General features: G+C 46.6%; 1 non-coding gene across 1 annotated transcript, besides 5 other annotated features; it reads left to right on the forward strand.

Annotated features, from left to right (window-relative positions):
• Nucleotides 3,580-4,080: an enhancer, noted in NCBI's record as "H3K4me1 hESC enhancer chr17:47260706-47261206 (GRCh37/hg19 assembly coordinates)". NCBI's record gives its function as "activates a minimal SCP1, AML or CMV promoter by ChIP-STARR-seq in primed H9 embryonic stem cells {active_cell/tissue: H9 hESC(primed)}" and the evidence as "EXISTENCE:reporter gene assay evidence [ECO:0000049][PMID:30033119]".
• Nucleotides 12,511-12,560: an enhancer, noted in NCBI's record as "active region_12349". NCBI's record gives its function as "activates an Ori minimal core promoter by ATAC-STARR-seq in GM12878 lymphoblastoid cells {active_cell/tissue: GM12878}" and the evidence as "EXISTENCE:reporter gene assay evidence [ECO:0000049][PMID:35858748]".
• On the forward strand, nt 12,764-12,835 carry TRQ-TTG1-1 (tRNA-Gln (anticodon TTG) 1-1). The gene has a single exon. It is a non-coding gene; the product is annotated as a tRNA-Gln (tRNA).
• Nucleotides 12,881-13,130: an enhancer, noted in NCBI's record as "active region_12350". NCBI's record gives its function as "activates an Ori minimal core promoter by ATAC-STARR-seq in GM12878 lymphoblastoid cells {active_cell/tissue: GM12878}" and the evidence as "EXISTENCE:reporter gene assay evidence [ECO:0000049][PMID:35858748]".
• Nucleotides 13,944-14,063: an enhancer, noted in NCBI's record as "active region_12351". NCBI's record gives its function as "activates an Ori minimal core promoter by ATAC-STARR-seq in GM12878 lymphoblastoid cells {active_cell/tissue: GM12878}" and the evidence as "EXISTENCE:reporter gene assay evidence [ECO:0000049][PMID:35858748]".
• Nucleotides 18,063-18,562: an enhancer, noted in NCBI's record as "H3K27ac hESC enhancer chr17:47275189-47275688 (GRCh37/hg19 assembly coordinates)". NCBI's record gives its function as "activates a minimal SCP1, AML or CMV promoter by ChIP-STARR-seq in naive H9 embryonic stem cells {active_cell/tissue: H9 hESC(naive)}" and the evidence as "EXISTENCE:reporter gene assay evidence [ECO:0000049][PMID:30033119]".

Here is a 20,373-nt window from a genome sequence, read left to right on the forward strand (position 1 = left end):
CATCTTTGTCAAGGTAAGAGGATAGAACATTAAACACTTTGCTAGCTTCATTTTTTATAGCTTTAAATATTTACACATAAGGATGTTGGTTTTCATATGTACTCTTTTTTTTAATCTTTAGAGACAGAGTCTCACTCTGTTGCCCAGGTTGGAGTGCAATGGCGCGATCTCGGATTCAAGTGATTCTTGTACTTCAGCCACCCAAGTAGCTGGGACTACAGGCATGCATCACCATGCCCAGCTAATTTTAGTATTTTTTGTAGAGATGGGGTTTCACCATGTTGGCAGGCTGGTCTCAAATACCTGGGCTCAAGCAATCCTCCCACCTCAGCCTCCCAAAATGCTGGGATTACAGGCTTCAGCCACCACGCCTGGCTTGCTTAACCTAATTTGAGTTGGTTCCTGTTACTTATAAACAAAGTGTCCTAAATAATACAACCATGCTGTACAACTGCCTGTTTCCAAAACAGAAAGGCATACATAAATAAAAAGTTTTCTCCTTCGGGCAGTTTGGAAGCAAAAACCAGGTCACAGACAATACCAGCCACATAGGCTTTCCTCCAGCCTTGAGTTTCAGACACAACCAAAGAGCCTGGACCAAACCAATGACAAAGCTATCCTTCCAGGACACTGAGTATCCCCCTGATATTTTCTGCTAAACTCCAAATTTCAGGAAAGCTGGGTACAAATAGCCAAATAATTGCATGGGCCTCCAGGGGGCGCTCAAGCCTGCCCTCTCTGTTTCCTTTACTTCTTCCCCACCCGCTTAACCCAGGAAAGGAAAACTGCGGCTGTGCTTTTGGAGAGGACGGATCTTATTGGCTACTGGGCTACTGGTCTTTTTCTTGCCTGCATAGGTGTGTCTATTTCCTGCGGCTGAAGTAGAAATTGGGTCTGAGGTCAGCTGGCTTCTTCTCCACTCTTAGGAAGGTTTTTGATTTTTTTTTTTTTTTTTTTTTTTTGAGATGGAGTCTTGTTCTGTCGCTCAGGGTGGAGTGCGGTGGTGTGATCTTGGCTCACTGCAACCTCTGCCTCCCGGGTTCCAGCAATTCTCCTGCTTCAGCATCCCGAGTAGCTGGGACTACAGGCGTGTGCCACCATGCCCAGCTAATTTTTTTTTTATTTTTGTATTTTTAGTAGAGACGGGGTTTCACCATGTTGGCCAGGATGGTCTTGATCTCTTGACCTTGTGATCCGCCCGCCTCGGCCTCCCAAAATGCTGGGATTACAGGCGTGTGCCACCACACCTGGCCAAAAATCTCATAATGGTTTAAGAAGGTTTACAAATTTGTGTTGGCCCGCATTAAAAGCCGTCCTGGGCCACAGATTGGACCAGCCTGCTCTAGGAGAAGCACCCCTGTCCTTTACCTTCCAGATCTACATCTGGTGGGCAGTGGGCAGGTTGACCTTTCTGAAACCTACACACAGCTTTAACTGCTCACTTCCTGTTAGTGGTGTTCACAGGTGTGGGCATGGCCTTAGGAGTAAAAACTCATTAGCTGTTAACAGTCAGGGTTTTAAGGAAACTGAATTGCCAATGAAATCTGATTGGCAGTTCCTTAAAACTTACAGGTTTCCTGTCACTTCCAGTCACTTCCAGACATCTCGTCTAGACATATCTTTGAGACTGGGGAACCTATTCTTGTAACCACAGGCCACCACCCAGGCCTCTGGCGCTCAGTTAAATGGCTTCTGCCTTGAGGCTATTCACAATAGTCGTCTCTAGTACAGAGGGACCATCTATAATCTGCTCTTTGCCCCAGTTTTTCCTCTTCGTGGGCAGAAAATGTTTAAAGCACTGTGATGCAGCAAGCTGGTCTCTTGCCCAAATCAGTGTCCTGCTAAGTCCCCTGTCTCTGTGGATGCTAACTTTCACTTGGGGTACAGAATTCAGCTTTTCCAGTCCTGTAACACTCCAAGTTGTAGGATTTCCGGTAAACTTGGATTGCAAGCCACTCTAAGCAAAACTGAAAACTTAAAACAGGGCACCTTCAGCCTAAAAGATGTCTCTTATAGGACCTGAAGACTGCATGAAATCACTAACTCCTGCCAGCATTCCAATTTTTTCCTACCATTTCCCCTAATTCTACAGTCCTGATAGGCACATAGTCTGTGTTCCAGACACCAGCACCAATTTCAGGATCATTAAATTTTGAAGAGGTGCCTGCTCTCCACCCTACCTCTTCCACTCAACCCTGCATCTGTCTTGACAGAGGGTTCAAGTTAACACACAGCTTTTCTTTTTCTTATTCCTTTGCTTGGATGCTCCTGCTTCCTTTATGCCCTTCAGTTTCAAACAAGTTCAATTCAAGTTATATTCAAATTAGAATATAAATTCTAATTCCCTCATCTTTAAATTTTACCAAGGGATTATCAAGATGTTCCTCATGTAACTGAGTAATCTATATAACTGTATATGCCTCTCTCCTATACCATTGTGCTTGTAAAGATCCCAGCTCTCCACATGCAAAGGACACAAAACGCATTCATCATAAAAGAAAAAAAAAGATACATTTGACTTTATCCATCAAAATTTAAACCTTCTGCTCATCAAAAGACATTGACATGGTTTGGCTGTGTCCCCACCCAAATCTCATCTTGATTTCCACGTCTTGTGGGAGGGACCTGGTGGGAGGTAATTGAATCATGGGGGCAGGTCTTTCCCATGCTGTTCTGTGACAGTGAATAAGTCTCACAAGATCTGATGGTTTTAAAAAGGGGAGTTTCAGCCGAGTATGGTGGCTCATGCCTGTAATCCCAGCAATTTGGAGGCCGAGGCAGGCTGATAACCTGAGGTCAGGAGTTCAAGACCAGCCTGGCCAACATGGTGAAACCCTGTCTCTACTAAAAATACAAAAATGAGCCGGGTGTGATGGTGCATGCCTGTAATCCCAGCTACTTGGGAGACTGAGGCAGGAGAATCGCTTGAACCCAGGAGGTGGAGGCTGCAGTGAGCTGAGATCATGCCACTTCACTCCAGCCTGGGTGACAAAGCAAGACTCTATCTCAAATAAATAAATAAGTAAATAAATAAATAAAAGGGGAGTTTCCCTGCACAAGCTCTCTTCTTGTCTGCCACCATGTGAGACATGCCTTTTGCCTTCTGCCATGATTGTGAGGCCTCCCCAGCCACATGGAACTGTAAGTCCATTAAACCTCTTTTTCTTCCCAGTCTCAGGTACATCGTTATCAGCAGCATGAAAACGGACTAATACAGAAAGTTGGTGTTACTGGGGGTCAATTTTTCTGGCTGGAAATCTCTGTAGCCACAGTGCCTTTGCCTGAGTTCTTGTCCTGCATCCGGAAGAATGAGGTATGCAGACAAGTAAAAGGTGATGAAGAGTTTTATTTAGTGTTAGGACAGCTCAGAGGAGTGGGTACCTCCTCTCTGCAGGCAGGTCGTCCAGTCAAGTGTTTAGCTCTTAGCAGAGAGGAGGCCCTGGAGAGGATAGTTCCTCTCCTCAGCCAAGTCATTCAGATGTCTCGGTAGGTCTCTGAAGCTCTCAGCAGAGAGAAGTACCCTCTCTGCTGGTCCCTCATCTCTGCAGTTCTCAGCAGAGAGGGTATTCCTCTCTGCAGCTGGTTGCCCTGTCCCATAGATGGTACTCCTCTCCAGAGCTGGAGTAGATGGTACTCCTCCTCTCTGCAGCTGTTCGTCCTGTCCTGTCCTGTCTCCCTGCCCTCTTTGTCCTCTGGCCATCCTCTGCCTGCTCTGGCTGAGCCCAGGGCTTTTATGGACCTCAAAGAGGAGGAAGTGCATGCCGATTGGTCCATGAGCAGCCATGGGCAGGCCGGAAGAGGTACCACGAGTCTGCACTCCAGTCTGTGGGACTGGCAGCCCAGCCCCCAGCCCCCAGCCCTCAGGCCCTCCTTGGCCTGACGGTGGGGCCTTACTAGGGACCCCACCCACTTCTGCCCAGGACTGTCTGCCTCCTGCTACTATTCATGGCTCTGGGGCTTGGCCTTAACCCTGCTCTGAGATGGGAGTGTGTGCCAGGAGTGCAGAGAGGCCAGGCAGTGGGAGCAGACACCTCTGAGCTTGCAGGGATGGGGTGGGGGAGGGGGTCCTTTCTGGGGCACCCGAGGGTGCAGGGTGCAGAGACGCCTAGGTCCTGCACCTGGGAGGGCAGCCGCAGCTGCACCTGGGAGCTCCTACCCCGCTAACTTGGAAGAGGCAGGCCTCCTTCTTGTCCCTGGCTCCTGCTTGCTTCATGGAGTGCGAGGCCCAGGTCTGCAGTTGCGGGTCTGGCAGCTGCCGCTGCACCCAGGAGGACAATCCTGCCTGCACCTAGCTCCCCCAAGAGCACAGGGAGGCTCAGATCCATAGCTGCAGTTTGCATAGCCCCAGGAGGGTGAGGCTTCTGCCTGCTCTGTAGAGCAGGAGGGCTGGGTCTGCAGCTACAGTTTGGGCAGCTACAGTGGCATGGGGCACCCCCGTCCCAACTCAGAAAGGGCAGGTCTCCCACTGGCTCCATGGAGTGTGCAGCCCTAGCCATGCCTCCCTGATGCAGCTGGCAGGATGGCAGCAGCCACTGCCATCATTGGTATTGAGAGTGAGGTGCTGCTGAAAAGATACTCAAAAATGTGGCAGTGACTTTGGAACGGGGTAACAGGCAAAGGGTTGAACAGTTTGGAGGGCTCAGAAGCAAACGGGAAAATGTGTTAAAGTTTGGAACTCCCTAGAGACTTGTTGAATGGATTCAACCAAAATGCTGATAATGATATGGACAATGAAATCCAGGCTGAGGTGGTCTCAGATGGGGATGAGGTACTTGTTGGGAACTGGAGCAAAGGTGACTCTTGTTACATTTTAGCAAAGAGACTGGCAGCATTTTGCCCCTGCCCTAGAGATTTGTGGAACTTTGAACTTGAGAGATGATTTAGGATATCTGGTGGAAGAAATTTCTAAGCCTTAAAGCATTCAAGAGGTGACTTGGGTGCTGTTAAAGGCATTCAGTTTTAAAAGGGAAACAGCACAAAAGTTTGGAAAATTCACAGCCTGACAACACAATAGAAAAGAAAATCCTGGCTGGGCATGGTGGCTTTCAGTCTTCAAAACTTTCTCAAATCTGTCTGGTCTCATACCTGTAATCCCAACACTTTGGGAGGCTGAGGCAGGCAGATCACTTGAGGTCAGGAGTTTGAGACCAGCCTGTCCAACATGATGAAACCCTGTCTCTACTAAAAATACAAAAATCAGCCAGGCATGGTGTTGTGTGCCTGTAATCCCAGCTACTCGGGAGGCTGAGGCAGGAGAATCACTTGAACCCAGAAGGTGGAGGTTGCAGTAAGCCAAGATTGCACCACTGCATTACAGCCTGGGTGACTGAGCAAAACACCATCTCAAAAAAAAAGAAAAGAAAAGAAAAGAAAATCCCATTTTCTGAGGAGAAATTCAAGCCAGCTGCAGAAATTTGCATAAGTAATGAGGAGCCAATGTTAATCGCCAAGACAATGGGGAAAATGTCTCCAGGGCATGTCAGAGGTCTTCACGGCAGCCCCTCCCATCACAGGCCTGGAGGCCTAGAAGGAAAATATGGTTTCATTGGCCTGGTCCAGGGTCCTTGTGCTGAGTCCACCCTAGGGATTTGGTGCTCTGCATCCCAGCTGCTCCAGCTGAGGCTGAAAGGAGCCAACATAGAGCTTGGGCTGTAGCTTCAGAGGGTGTAAGCCCCAAGCCTTGGCAGCTTCTACATGGTGTTGAGCCTGCAGGTTCACAGAAGTCAAGAATTGAGATTTGGGAACCTCCACCTAGATTTCAGAGGATGTATGGAAATGTCTGGATGCCCAGGCAGAAGTTTGCTCCAGGGGTGGGGCCCTCATGGATAACCTCTGCGAGGGGAGTGAGGAAGGTAAATGTGGGGTCAGAGCCCCCACACAGAGTCCCTACTAGGGCAATACCTAGTGGAGCTGTGAGAAGAGGGCCACCATTCTCCAGAGCCCAGAAAGGTAGATCCACCAACAGCTTGCACTGTGCACTCAATGCCAGCCTGTGAAAGCAGCCAGGAGGGAGGCTGTACCCTGCAAAGCCACAGGGGGGTGCTGCCCAAGACCACAGGAACCCACCTTTTACATCAGCGTGATCTGGATGTGAGACACAGGGTCAAAGGAGATTATTTTGGAGCTTTAAGATTTGACTGCCTCACTGAATTTCGGACTTGCATGGGGCCTGTAGCCCCTTTGTTTTGGCCATTTTTTTCCCATTTGAAACAGCTGTATTTACCCAATGCCTGTACCCCCATTGTATTTGCTTTTGATTTTACAGGCTCATAGGCAGAAGGGACTTGCCTTGTCTCGGATGAGACATTGGACTGTTGACTTTTGAGTTAATGCTGAAATGAGTTAAGACTTTGGGGGACTGTTGGGAAGGCATGAATGGTTTTGAAATGTGAGGACATGAGATTTGGGAGGGACTGGGGCAGAACGACATGGTTTGGCTGTGTCCCCACCCAAATCTCATCTTGAATTTCCATGTGTTGTGGGAGGGACCCAGTGGGAGGTAACTGAATCATGAAGGCAGGTCTTTCCCATGCTGTTCTCATGATAGTGAATAAGTCTCACGAGATCTGATGGTTTTAAAAAGGGGAGTTCCCTGCACAAGCACTCTTCTCTTGTCTGCCGCCATGTGAGACATGCCTTTCACCTTCCATCATGATTGTGAGATCTCCACAGCCACGTGGAACTGTAAGTCCATTAAACCTCTTTTTCTTCCCAGTCTCAGCTATGTCTTTATCAGCAGTGTGCAAACGGGCTAATATAGACACTATTAAGAAAGTGAAAAGGCAGCTGGCCACAGTGGCTTGCACCTATAATCCCAGCACTTTGGGAGGCTGAGGTGGGCAGATCACTTGAGGTTAGGAGTTCAAGACCAAACTGGCCAACATGGTGAAACCCCGTCTCTACTAAAAATACAAACATTAGCCAGGCATGCTGGTAAGCACCTGTAATCCCAGCTACTCAGGAGGCTGAGGCACAAGACTTACTTGAACCCAGGAGTCAGAGGTTGCAGAGATTGTGCCACTGCACTCCAGCCTGGGTGACAGAGTGAGACTCTGTCTTAAAAAAGAAAAAAAAAAAGAAAAAAAAAAGAAAGTGAAAAGGCAAGCCACAGACTGGGAGAAAATGTTCAACATACATATATTTGATAAAGGATTCATATCAGGATATATAAAGAATTCCTGTAAATTAATAAGAAATTTTTTTGTGTGAGACAGGGTCTTGCTCTGTTGCCCAGGCTGGAGTGCAGTGGCACAACCAGCCCAGCTAATTTTTTAATTTTTTGTAGAGATGGGGTCTTGCCATGTTGCCCAGGCCAGGAAAAACATTTTCTTAATGAATAAAATACTTGAAACAGCACTTAGAAAAGAACATATCTAAACAGCTAGTAAGCATGTAAAATAGATGTTCAACATCATAACCATCAGGGAAATACAAATTAAAACCATAAAGAGATCATTATACACCCACCAGAATGGCTAAAATTTAAGAGACTAACAATGCCACCTACTAACAAAGATGTAGAACTGGAACTCTCCCAAACACTGCTGGTGGGAGTATAAAATAGTACAAGAACCTTGGAAAACTGTTTGGCAGTTCCTAATAAACTTAAGTATACACATAGCCTATAGCCCAGCAATTCTATTCTTAGGTTTATACCCAAGAACAAAAAAGAGTTGTACAAGAGTGGTCATAGCAGATTTATTTATACTAGCCCCAAACTGTAAACAACCCAAATGTCCATCAACTGGAGAATGGATCAACAAATCGTGGTATAGTCATACAATGCAATATTACTCAGCAATGAAAGAATGTACTACCGATATATAAAATGACAAGGATGAGTCTCAAAATTGTTATTTATTTATTTATTTGTTTATTTATCTGAGAGGGAGTCTCACTCTCTCTCCCAGGCTGGAGGGCAGTGGCGCTATCTTGGCTCACTGCAACCTCTGCCTCCCAGGTTCAAGCAATTCTCCTGCCTCAGCCTCCCGAGTAGCTGGGATTATAGGCATGCACCACCACGCCCAGCTAATTTTTTTGCATTTTTACTAGAGACTGGGTTTCACCATATTGGCTAGGCTGGTCTCAAACTCCTGATCTTGTGATCTGCCTGCCTCGGCCTCCCAAAGTGCTGGGATTACAGGCGTGAGCCACCCTGCCCGGCCTTCAAAATTATTGATTTAATTTTGTTGATTGATTTTGTGTCTGGCAAAAGAAACCAGACACAAAATACACTACAGATAAGTGAGTTTCATATATGTAAAATTTAAGAGCAGCCAAAAGTAATTTATGGTGATAGAAACCAGTACAGTGATTCCAGGGAGGTAGGAGGTAATGGCTTGAAAAGAGTACCAGAGAACTTTCTGGGGTGATGGAAATGCTTTATATCTTGATCTAGGTGATGGTGACACAGGCGTATACATTTGTGTAAAAAAAAAGTATTGGTTTCTCCAGTTACGATTTGTGCATTTTCCATTATATAAATAACAATTCAATTACATGTCATTTAAAGGGATAAGGCTGGGGGCAGTGGCTCATTCCTGTAATCCAGCAATTTGGGAAGCCAAGGCAGGAGGATCACTTAAGGCCAGGGATGCAAGACCAGCCTGGGCAACACAGCAAGATTCCTGTCTCTATTTTAAAAAATGAGATAAATTTTATATATTCTGTTATTGAACAATCTTCAACATATGCAACATATGGTGCTAATAAAACAAGGTGCAGAACAGTGTTTTGATTTTTTCTAAGAAAAAGAATATGTGCTGGGTTCAGTTGCTCACATCTGTAATCTTGTCACTTTGGTAGGCCAAGGCAGGAGGATCACTTGAGCCCAGGAGTTTGAGACTAGCCTGGGCAACATAGCAAGACTCTGTCTCTACACAAGAAAAGAGAAAAGGAATATTCATATTCATATACATGTATATTTGTTGGGTTTTATTTATTTATTTTTTAGACGGAGTTTTGCTCTTTTTGCTCAGGCTGGAGTGCAATGGCACAATCTTGGCTCATGGCAACCTCTGCCTCCCGGGTTCAAGCGATTCTCCTCCCTCAGCCTTCCAAGTAGCTGGTATTACAGGCATGCGCCACCATGCCCGGCTAATTTTATATTTTTAGTGGAGAAGGGGCTTCTCCATGTTGGTCAGGCTGGTCTGGAACTCCTGACCTCAGGTGATCCACCAGCCTCGGCCTCCCAAAGTGCTGGGATTACAGGCATGAGCCACCGCACCCAGCCTCATTTTGTATTTTGTTCAGGAATGCCAGATCCTTCTGGGCAATAGGGCTTGGGGCAGAAGGGGCAAGCCCAGAGACTCAGGGCATCCCTCCTCACACTGCACAAGGAGGTGCTGGCAGCTTGTCTGGCTCAGCCGGGGATCCCAAGGTAAAGTAGGGGATTCGTGGCAGGTATCACCTAAGCTGGGTGATGAGGACACAGAGCAAGACAGATTCTATCCCAGCTAACTGTGAGAAGCTTCAGAATGGACAAAGGAAATGGACTGAATATGGCTATGACAGTGAACAGGAATACTTTCCATTTAACTACTCAAAGCACCTGTTATTCCATCCACTACATATTTACAGGCTTACAAAAAACTTGAAGTCCCTAATCCTTGCCTTCAAGTTTTTTTTTTGAGACAGAGTTTCGCTCTCGTTGCCCAGGCTGGAGTGCAGTGGCACAATCTCAGCTCACCACAACCTCCGCCTCCTGGTTTCAAGCGATTCTCCTTCCTCAGCCTCCTGAGTAGCTGGGATTACAGGCACGCGCCAATACACCTGGCTAATTTTGTATTTTTAGTAGAGACGGGGTTTCTCCATGTTGGTCAGGCTGGTCTGGAACTCCCGACCTCAGGTGATCCACTCACCTGGACCTCCCAAAGTGCTGGGATTACAGGTGTGAGCCACCGTGCCCAGCCTTCCTTCAGGTCCTTCCTAACCCCTGGCCTCACTGTTCTCCCCCTCTGCCTGATTCAGCCCTCAGTCTCAGTGCCAGGGCTGAAGCCACACTGACCCCACCTCTAGCAGAACCTAGGACTCTCCCATGCTTCAGGAGCCACTTGAGGAGGCTGGGTCTGTTCTCAAAGATGCCATGGGTTGCCATCTTTACAATGTCATGAACTGTGGCTTTATGTTAATAGAAACTAGTTATTCTGGGGAAGGAAGATTACATCCTGTCTCCCTTTTCTCTCTTATCATTAAAAAATTAGTAAATGTGGCCAGGCACAGTGGCTCAGGCCTGTAATCCCAGCACTTTGAGAGGCAGAGGCAGGTGGATTACTTGAGGCCAGGAGTTTGAGACCAGCCTGGCCAACATGGCGAAACTCCGTCTCTACTAAAAACACAAAAATTAGCTGGGCGTGATGGTGGTGCACTGTAGTTCCAATTACTCGGGAGGCTGAGGCAGGAGAATCGCTTGAACCTGGGAGGAAGAGGTTGCAGTGAGCGGAGATCACGCCACTACACTCTAGCCTGGGCAAAAAAGCCAGACTCCATCTCCAAAAAGAAAGAAGAAAGAAAAGAAAAGAAAAGAAAAAGCTAGAGAATGGGAGTAGGGAGAAGTGGAAGTAGGAAGGTGGAGTCACCTTTACCCTCACACTGGACAGAAGGAACTATCTCCTATGCATTGTCAAAGAATATCATCATGGCCCTTTAGGGTTTCTAAAGTAGCTTTTGAGAAATTAATTTCAATGCACTCTCACTGGTGCTCACAGAACCCGCGTAAGGAAGAAATAAACAGGAAAGCTGAGGTCCAAAGATGCTGAAGTCATTCAACTTCAGCTTTAATAGCTCACCCTTAAGTCATAGGAGCTTAAGGGGAGATTGGCTTGTTTCCCAAAATGGAAAATCTTTACTGTTTCTTCTGACAATATACAAGAGTTATTCTTTTGTCAAGCCATATGGAAAAACAGAAAAGTCCTTATAAATTTACTCCCCAGAGATAAATCATCAACAGAGCATTTCAGATTTGGGCTACCACGCTCTTGACTGCATGCAACGGAAAAGGACTGGGTACATTAAGCAAGAAAAGAGACTTATTGGAGGGATGTGAGATAGCTCAGAGCACCAGAGAGAGGCTGGAAAAGCAAACTTCGGAAGGTGGGCAGAGCCAAAGGGGAACTGGGCAGCCAGGACCTCAGGCAAGGTCAGGATCCTGGGCCGTGTGGTTAGGATGCCAGTTCTGCTGCCAGTGGGCATGGCCTGGCTGCCCCCACTGCCCCTGGGACACTGGGTGTCACAGCCACCACTAGTAGCAGAACGAGTTCTAAAATGCCCGTTTCTGGGCATCAGTCTCTGGATTTTAAGTCTAATTGGCCAAGCTACATCTCATTCTGACTGCTGGAGAGTGAGTATATCCACCTTGGAGCACAGCTGCTGTCACTCAGATCCACACAGTGTTGGCGCCCTCAAGAAAGGAAGTCAGATGTCACACGTCAAATAAATGGTAAATGTTCATTACACACATGTAGAACTTTTCTGTTTGTTTATAAGTCATGGGGTATTATACATATTACTATATATTGTTAGTACATAGTATATATGAATTAGATATTATTAGTATATATTATTAAATGATGTATTTTATTTATATATAATTAATGTTATATATAATTAATATATATTATTATACACACTAATTGGTACAACACTATTATACATACAAATTGGTAAGTAGATTTTACCTACTATTATCATATTGTTATACATACTAATTGGTATGTATACATACTAATTGGTAAGTCGATTTTATTATTATCATACATAATAATTGGCAAGTGGCTTTTTTGTTTTGGCTTTTTATATTATTACAATAAGTTATTCCCTAAATTCTTGCACAATATTTATTGTGTAGATATTGTTATTACCAATTTTCACTTGGACGTTTATTTTCTGTTTTTTACTATTATAAACCACACAGCTGAGAACATCCTGGAACATACGTCTTGGCACTTGCCTTGGTGTTTCCGTAGGTTAAAGTCTCAAAGATGAAACTGCTGAGTCAAATGGCGTGTAAAAATTTAATGTAGCCAGATTGACCTGCAGAAACTTCCGTTTACATACACGCTCACTAAAATGGGGGAGAGAGCCCAGAGGGGAGTGTCTTTTCCACTGATCTGATTTAATCCTAAAGTTAAGGATAATCGCCCAGCAAGGAAGGGTATCTGAGTGTTATCTCAGCAGTCCCACCTGGTGGTTTTTAATTAGGCACACACGCATGTGGAGGCGAAACTTTAGAACGGTTTTCTCGTGAGCTCCAGCCACGTGAAACAGTAGGACTCGCACCGACGCAGTCAGGCTGGGGGCGCAATTTCAAAGTCTCCGTTACGCGCGTCCCTGGGGCGCCTGGGGTTTGAACCGTTGTTCCCCACATGCTAGTCCGCTTCCCTTCCCGCTTGGCCAAAATACCTTTTCTAAGGCACTCCCCACGTAAATAAATAAATAAACAACCCAGGCTCCGTGCGCCGCGCCTCCTGCCCTGGAGCTGGGGTTGGAGCAGGCTTTCCCTGGACCCAGTCCGGCCCCACATCGCCAACCCCGCCAGCCTGCTGCCTTTCCGACCTCCCAGCCCCCGGAGGAGCGCAGGAAGACATGATATCCCCGGGACCAGAAACGCCGGGAACACGAAGGACGCAGAAGCCCTCGCCACGCCGCCCGTGGGGCCCCGGTCCAGGGCCCAGTCCCTCAAACACGGACACCGCTGCCGCTCTGGAAAGGCCGCCCAGAGCCCTCCTAGCTTGAGGAGACTCGCGGCCGCCTTAAGAAGCCAGCAGGTCCCATGGTGTAATGGTTAGCACTCTGGACTTTGAATCCAGCGATCCGAGTTCAAATCTCGGTGGGACCTCACGAGACTTTTTGGTCCTACAATTCCTGTTTTGGAGACCGCTTCCGGCAGCAGCCACCTCGGGCTGTGTGGGTAGCCTCACTGACCTGGCCTACAGCGGCTTGGGGTCCCTCCCCCTCTCTCAAGATGTTTTCATTTCAGGGCCGTTCTGGGGGTGTCAGTGCGCACGCGCGAGAGTCGGGCAGAAAAATAAATGTGTTGATGGGAGAGCGAACGCGACTTCACCCTGGAGGGCAGCTTCCGAAAGAACCCGAAGGATCAGGAGGATGCTGCTTCGGGCGGGGCATAGCTAGGTCGGCCGGTCTAGGAGGTCCCAGGTTGCCGAGGGTGCCGTCATGCTTCTTATTGGCTACTGAGCAAGCGCGATACGTTACTGCTGCCTGAGCCGCCAATGAAGTGGCGCGACAGAACCAAGGGGCGGGGAAACGGCGCCTGCGGGACTCCAATTGGTCACGAACAATAACGAGGCTGCGCTCCCCAGAGGGGTGTGTTTTTGGGGTCTGGAACGCACCCTAGTGTGTTTGTCTTGGTTGTCCGGTGCTCAGTGAGGTTGTCTGTGTCTGTCAGTCAGAAAACAGGCCCTTAGGCTGTATGCGGTGGCTCACGCCTGTAATCCCAGCACTTTGGGAGGCCGAGGCGGGCGGATCACCTGAAGTCAGGAGTTCGAGACCAGCCTGGCCAACATGGTGAACCCTCGTCTCAACTAAGAATACAAGAATTAGCCGGGCGTGGTGACGCGCCCCTGTAATCTCAGCTACTGGGGAGGCTGAGGCAGGAGAATGGCTTGAACCCGGGAAGTGGAGGTTGCAGTGAGCCGAGATCGTGCCTGTGTACTCCAGCCTGGGAGACAGAGAAAGACGTCATCTCAAAAAAAAAAAAAAACAAAAAAACAAAAAAACAAAAAACAAACAAAAAAACAGTCCCTAGATGCTGTAGTTGGTGAAAGAGAGAAGAGATTAAAAGAAAGAAAGAAAGAAAGAAAACAGTCCCTTAGATGCTGTAGCTGGTGAAAGAGGAAAGGAGAGGGAGAGAGACAGAGAGAGAAGAGGGGAGAAAGAGAGAGAGAGAGAGGGTGAGGGGGGGGAGGGGAAGAGAAGAGAAAGAAAGAAGAAAAAGAAAAACAGTCCCTTGGCTAAGGGACCGGTTCTTCAGCCCGCCAGGGCGTCTTAAGCGAGTCTTCAGACGGATTGAGCGCGTCTCTCTGGGCGAATCTGTCCAGGATCCGTGTTTAGGGTGCCGAGCAGGGGCACGTGCTTTGCAGGAAAGGGCGTACCTTTAGGATTGTATGGGAGAGACCTGCGTGAAGCAGCTTCTTTGGATCAGCATCTCGGTTTTGAGAGGTGCCTGTCCCTCTAGGATAAGTAACAAGGGAGTCCGCTGACGCATTTATGATCTCCCCACAGGGTGATTGGCACTGTGGTTATATGTTCCCGCCCCTTGGGAGGATGCCATGGAAACACAGAGGATCCTCCCGCTGCTCTCCCACCTCTCCCCTGAGCACCCGTTCTCCCCACCCCACCCCACAGTCTCCCTAAATGGTTGAATGGATCTGTGTGTATGAGCAATCCCAGCCTCAAAAATACCTAGCCATGAGACGTGGGAGGATTTGCTCCACCAGAGCGTAAAGCTTATTATCAACTGCAAGCTATAGAAATTGAGGTAGTTCAGTACTGGTGCAAGGATGGGAAAACATGCCAACGCAACAGAATAGGGAACCCAGATTCAGCCCCACAAGTATCTGGACAATTGATTTATGACAAAGGTGGCACAACAGAGGAGTGGGTAAAAGAACTTTCTTTTCCTTTTATTCTTTCTCTCTTTTTTCTCCTCCTCTTTCTCCTCCTCCCCCTCCTACTCCCCATTCCTCCTCTCCCCCTCCTCCTTCTCTTTTTTTCTTCTTTTTGACAGGGTGTTGCTCTGTCGCCCAGGCTGGAGTGCAGTGGCACAATCACAACTTACTGCAACCTCGAACTCCTGGACTCAAATGATCCTCCCCCCTCAGCCTCCTAAGTAGCTGGGATGGCAGGCACGTGCCACCATGCCCAGCTAGGGCCTACTTTTCGATAAATTGTTCTGGGACAATTGAGTGTCCATATGGAAAAATACGAAATCGAATTCCTCCCTAACTTATATTAAACAGAGAAATAAATTCCATGTGAATTGTAGACTTCAATGTGAAGAAAAAACAATAAAGCTTCTGGAAGACAACATAGGAGACTATCTTCATGACCTCAAGGTAAGGAAAGTCTTCCCAAAAAAGACAAAAAACGTTCTAAAATGTTGATATACTTCACCATATTAATGTGATACTATATGTTCTCCTTGTCAAAAGACCCCAATAATAAAATGACAAGGTCAGCCACAGAATAGGAAAAGATAATTGGGTTTTTTTGTTTGTTTGTTTTGTGTTTTGAGATAGAATCTCACTTTATCCCCCAGGCTTGAATGCAGTGGTGTAATCTCAGCTCACTGCAGCCTCAACCTCCCAGGTTCAAGCGATTATCCTGCCTCAAGCCTCCTGAGTAGCTGGGATTAGAGGCCTCCAGCTAATTTTTGTACTTTTAGTAGAGACGGGGCTTTGGCATGTTGGCCAGGCTGGTCTCGAACTCCTGACCTCAAGTGATCCACCCGCCTCAGCCTCCCAAAGTGTTAGGATTACAGGTATGAGTCACTGCGCCCGGCCTAATTTTTGTATCTTTAGTAGAGACAGGGTTTCACCATGTTGCCCAGACTGGTCTCGAACTCCTGAGCTCAAGCGATCTGTCCACCTCCACCTCCCAAAGTGCTGGGATTACAGGTGTTAGCCACCTTGCCCAGCCAGGAAAAGACATTTGTAATGCATAACTGACAAATAACTTAAATATAGATTACAATAGAAAAATCCAGCCAGGAGTGGTGGCTCACACCTGTTATCCTAACACTTTGGGAGGCTGAGGCAGGCATTACTTCAGCCCAGGAGTTGGAGACCAGCCTGAGCAATATGGCAAATACCCATCTCTACTAAAAATACACAAATTGGCTGAGTATGGTGGCACAGACCTGTGGTCCCAGCTACTCAGGAGGCTGAGGCAGGAGGATGGCTTGAGCCCTTGGGGTCAAAGCTTTAGTGAGCCATGATTGCACCACTGCACTCCAGCCTTGGTGACAGAGCAAGATCCTGTGTCAAAAATAAAATAAAGTAGGGAAAATACATAGTCAGTTTGGGTTTAAAAAAAAAATCCTAAAAATCAATAAGAAAAGACAATCTAATAGAAAAATAACAAAAGGCTTGAACGGGCACTTCACTGAAAAAGGAAACTGAAAATAACTGATATACATATGAAAAGATGCAAGAGATCATTAGTCATCACGCGAACGCAAATTAAAAACTCAATCAGATACCACTACACACTCACCAGAATGCCAGTGCTGATGTTAAGAATATGGAATAATGTGAACCTTTGTAGAAGTGTAAATTGGTGGAAAACAGTTTGACATTACTATAGTTGGAAATGCTAGACCCTATGATATAGCAATTTCACTCTTGCCCATATATTCACAGAAATGTGTGCATATGTGCACCTAGAGACATACATAAGAATGTTAGGCTGGGCAAGGTGGCACATGCCTGCAATTCTAGCACTTTGGGAGGCCGAGGCAGGAGGATCACTTGAGGCCAGGAGTTTGAGACCAGCTTGGGCAACATAGTGAGACCCCATCTCTATTTTAAATAAAAGAAAACTTTGTCCACCAACGGGAAGTCAGGATAAAGATTTTCTACTTTGGGCCAGTCAAACCACATCTGGAGGATTGAGATCAATTCTGGGTATCACACAAAGACATTGGTAAATTTCATCCTGCCACTAACTGGCTGGGTAATTTGGGTAAGCAATTTAAGTATTCTGAGCCTCATATGCAAAAGGATAATAGTAGTACCTTTTGCATAGCAGTGTTGTGAGAATTAGTAAAATAGAAATGTAAAGTCTTTATATCTATATCTGATCCGTAATATAGTCAAGAATGGTAGCTGCTAGAGAAACAACTAGAATAGTGAAGTCTATGGAAGCTCAGATACTTGAGAAACACAAATACTTACACCAGGAGGAAGACGAAACTTAGAGGTCACAAGATAGCTTTCTTAGTTTATTTGCTTATTTGTTCCTAGTCTGGATTACAACAGAGGCAGAGAATTAGAAGTCATGGGTGGAAGTTAGAGGGGCAAAGAGGATGAACTTTCTAACAACTTGAGCAGTCCATTGGCAGAACAGTGTATTCACCCAGGGGGTTCTTCCTGCCGGCTGCACAAACCAAATCAATTCACCAAGACCTCAGCATTGCATTAAAGAAAGAGTTCAATTGACACTAGGTCTGCCACATGGGAGATGGAGTTATTTTATTTTATTTTTTTAGACAGAGTCTCGTTTTGTCATCCAGGCTGGAGTGCAGTGGTATGATCTTGGCTCACTGCAATCTCTGCCTCCTGGGTTCAAGCATTTCTCCTGGCTTAGCCTCCCAAGTAGCTGGGACTACAGGCATGCACCACCACACCCGGCTAATTTTTGTATTTTTAGTAGAGATGGGGTTTTGCCATGTTGGCCAGGCTGGTCTTGAACTCCTGACCTCAGGTGATCTGCCCGCCTCAGCCTCCCAATGTGCTGGGATTACAGGTGTGAGCCACCGCGCCCAGCCTGGAGATGGAATTATTACTCAAATCAGTCTCCCTGAAGGCTCAGAAGTTGGGGTTTTTATGAACAATTTGATGAGCAGGGGGCTAGGGAATGGACACTGCTGACTGATTAGGGATTAAATCATAGGGGTGTGGAAAACAGTCTTTCTGTGCTGAATCTGCCTCTGGGTGGGGCCGCAGGCCCGGTTGAGTCATGAATCACTGATCTAGGTGGGGTCTGTCAGTTGCCAGAATGCATCTCAAAAGACCAAGCCTAGGTTTTACAATAGTGATGTTATCTACAGGGGGCACAAATCACAAATCTTGTGACCTCTGGCCACATGACCTCGGAACAGTAAAGGATTATAGAAATTATGCCTACATTTTTGGTCCCTGAGCAAGGAGGAGGTTGGTTTTAGGGAGGGACTATTATCATCCTTGCTTTCAAGTTAAACTATAAACCAGATTCCTCCCATGTTTAGCTTGGCCTCCGTAGGTGCAGGAGTGAGCTGAAGACAGCCAGTCTGTGAGGCTAGAAGCAAGATGGAGTCAGCCATGTCAGATTTCTCTCACTGTCAGAATCTTTATAAAGGTGGTTTCAACAGGCTTGAGAAATACTGAGCTGCTGGTGCCTGAAGTCTTCCAGGGAGGCTCAAAGCTCTTTGTCAGTTGTGAGTGTAGGAAGATTTCTGCACTCAGATGGAGACTGGGCTCCACAAAATGTACCCTGCCTTCCTCTCTGAGGTTTGGTTCGTCTGTGAATCCTCATTCCCAGTTTAGGACTTTACTCACCATGAGCTTTTTCATTATTTCTCCTATGGCTTTCACCATTTTTTGTTTGTACTAAGACCCTCAGTAAGATATCTGTTTTTCATCAGAAACCAGTGTACACATACACACATGCACAAAACTGAAATAAAGGTTTAAGAAATAACATGTACTCCACTCCCATTGCTTCACTTGACTAACCTTTTAAAAACAAACCAAAAAAAAAAATAAATTAAACAAAAATAATATTTGGCTTGGCGTGATGGCTCATATCTATAATCCCAGCACTTTGGGGGAGCTGAGGTGGGAGGATACTTGAGCCCAGGAATTTGAGACCAGTCTGTGCAATGTAGTGAGATCTCATCTTTACAAAAAATTTAAAAATTAGCCAAGCTTGGTGGCACATGCTCCTCTAGTCACGGTGACTCAGGAGGCTGAGGGAAGAGGATCACTTGGGCCCCATAGGTTGAAGCTGCAGTAAGCTGTGATCAGGCCACTGCACTCCAACCTGGGTGACACAGCAAGACCCTGTCTCAATTAAATATAAAGAAATAATATTCACATGTAAAAGTATACTCTGATATTTTTTCTTTTCTTTCCTTTTTTTTTTTTCTTTTGAGACAAGGTCTCACTCTGTTGCCCAGGCTGGAGTGCAGTGTCATGATCAAATGATCCTCTCACCTCAGCCTCTCCAGGAGCTGGGACTACAGGTGTGGGTCACCACACCTGGCTAATTTTTGTATTTTTAGTAGAGGCAGGGTTTCACCATGTTGGCCAGTCTGGTCTTGAACTCCTGACCTCAGGTGATCCGCCGGTCTCGGCCTCCCAAAGTGCTGGGATTGCAGGCATGAGCCACCACACCCAGCCTCTGATATTTTCTATGTATTTTATTTTTGTTAAACTGGTCACAATCTACTAACTTGATTCTAGAACCTGTAATTGATAAAACACTTAGACACTCACTACCATCCCAGCTGGCCTTCTTCTCCTAGCTCCAGTTTCTCTAAGACCTCCTCTACATGTCCGTCTCTTTCTATGCCCAGTAGCTTAGGAAGAACATCTCTTTCTCCTCACAGCAGTCTGAAAGCCTCTCCAATGGTTTTATTCTGGTGAAGGGGCCCGGGGCATAGCACACTGTAGCCCCACATTTCTGGGTTCACGTGATCCTCCTGCCTCAGCCTCCTGAGCAGCTAGGACTACAGGTACAGACCACTGTGTCCTGTGTAAGCCTGTAAGTTATAAAATACGTACAGTCTTTTTTTTTTTTTTTTTTTTTTGAGACAGGATCTCACTCCAATGCCCAAGCTGGAGTACAGTGATGCGATCACAGCTCACTGCAGCCTTGACCTCCTGGGTTCAATCGACCCTCCCACCTCAGCCTCCCAAGTAGCTGGGACCACAGGCATGCGCCACCACATCCGGCTAAGTTTTATATTTTTTGTAGAGATGGGATTTCGCTATGTTGCCCAGGCTGGTCTTGAGCTCCTGGGCTCAAGCGATCTGCCAGCCTTGGCCTCCGAAAGTGCTGGGATTACAGGCATGAGCCACTGCGCCTGGCCCACACATAGTCTTTTAATACGTACCATGTTCTTGGTGCTAGAAATACAAAATTTAAAAAAGACTTAGCAGGGTGCGGTGGCTCACACCTGTTATCCCAGCTCTTTGGGAGGCCGAGGTTGGCAGGTCACTTGAGGTCAGGGGTTCAAGACCAGCCTGGCCAACATGTTGAAACCCCATCACTATTAAAAATACAAAAATTAGCCGGGTGTGGTGGCGCATGCCAGTAATCCCAGCTACTCAGGAGGCTGAGGCAGGAGAATCGCTTGAACCTGGGAGGCGGAGGTTGCAGTGAGCCAAGATCTTGCCATTGCACCCCAGCCTGGGCGACAGAGTGAGACTGTCTCAAAAAAAAAATAATAATAATAAAAAAAAAGACTTGCTCCCTGCCCTCAAGTAGCTTGAAATCTTGACCAATAAATCAAAGGCTAAAGTACGTTGTAAAATGAAAAGCAAGGCTCGGGAGTATATGTGGATGAAATGTAAGTAAAATATAGGTGTAGGTAAGGTAAAAAAAGAAATCCAGACGAAAACTCGGAATAGCATGGGAGTGCTACCGTTCGTGTAA

This window comes from Homo sapiens, chromosome 17 (assembly GCF_000001405.40).
Source record: "Homo sapiens chromosome 17, GRCh38.p14 Primary Assembly".
Taxonomy (NCBI): Eukaryota; Metazoa; Chordata; class Mammalia; order Primates; family Hominidae; genus Homo; species Homo sapiens.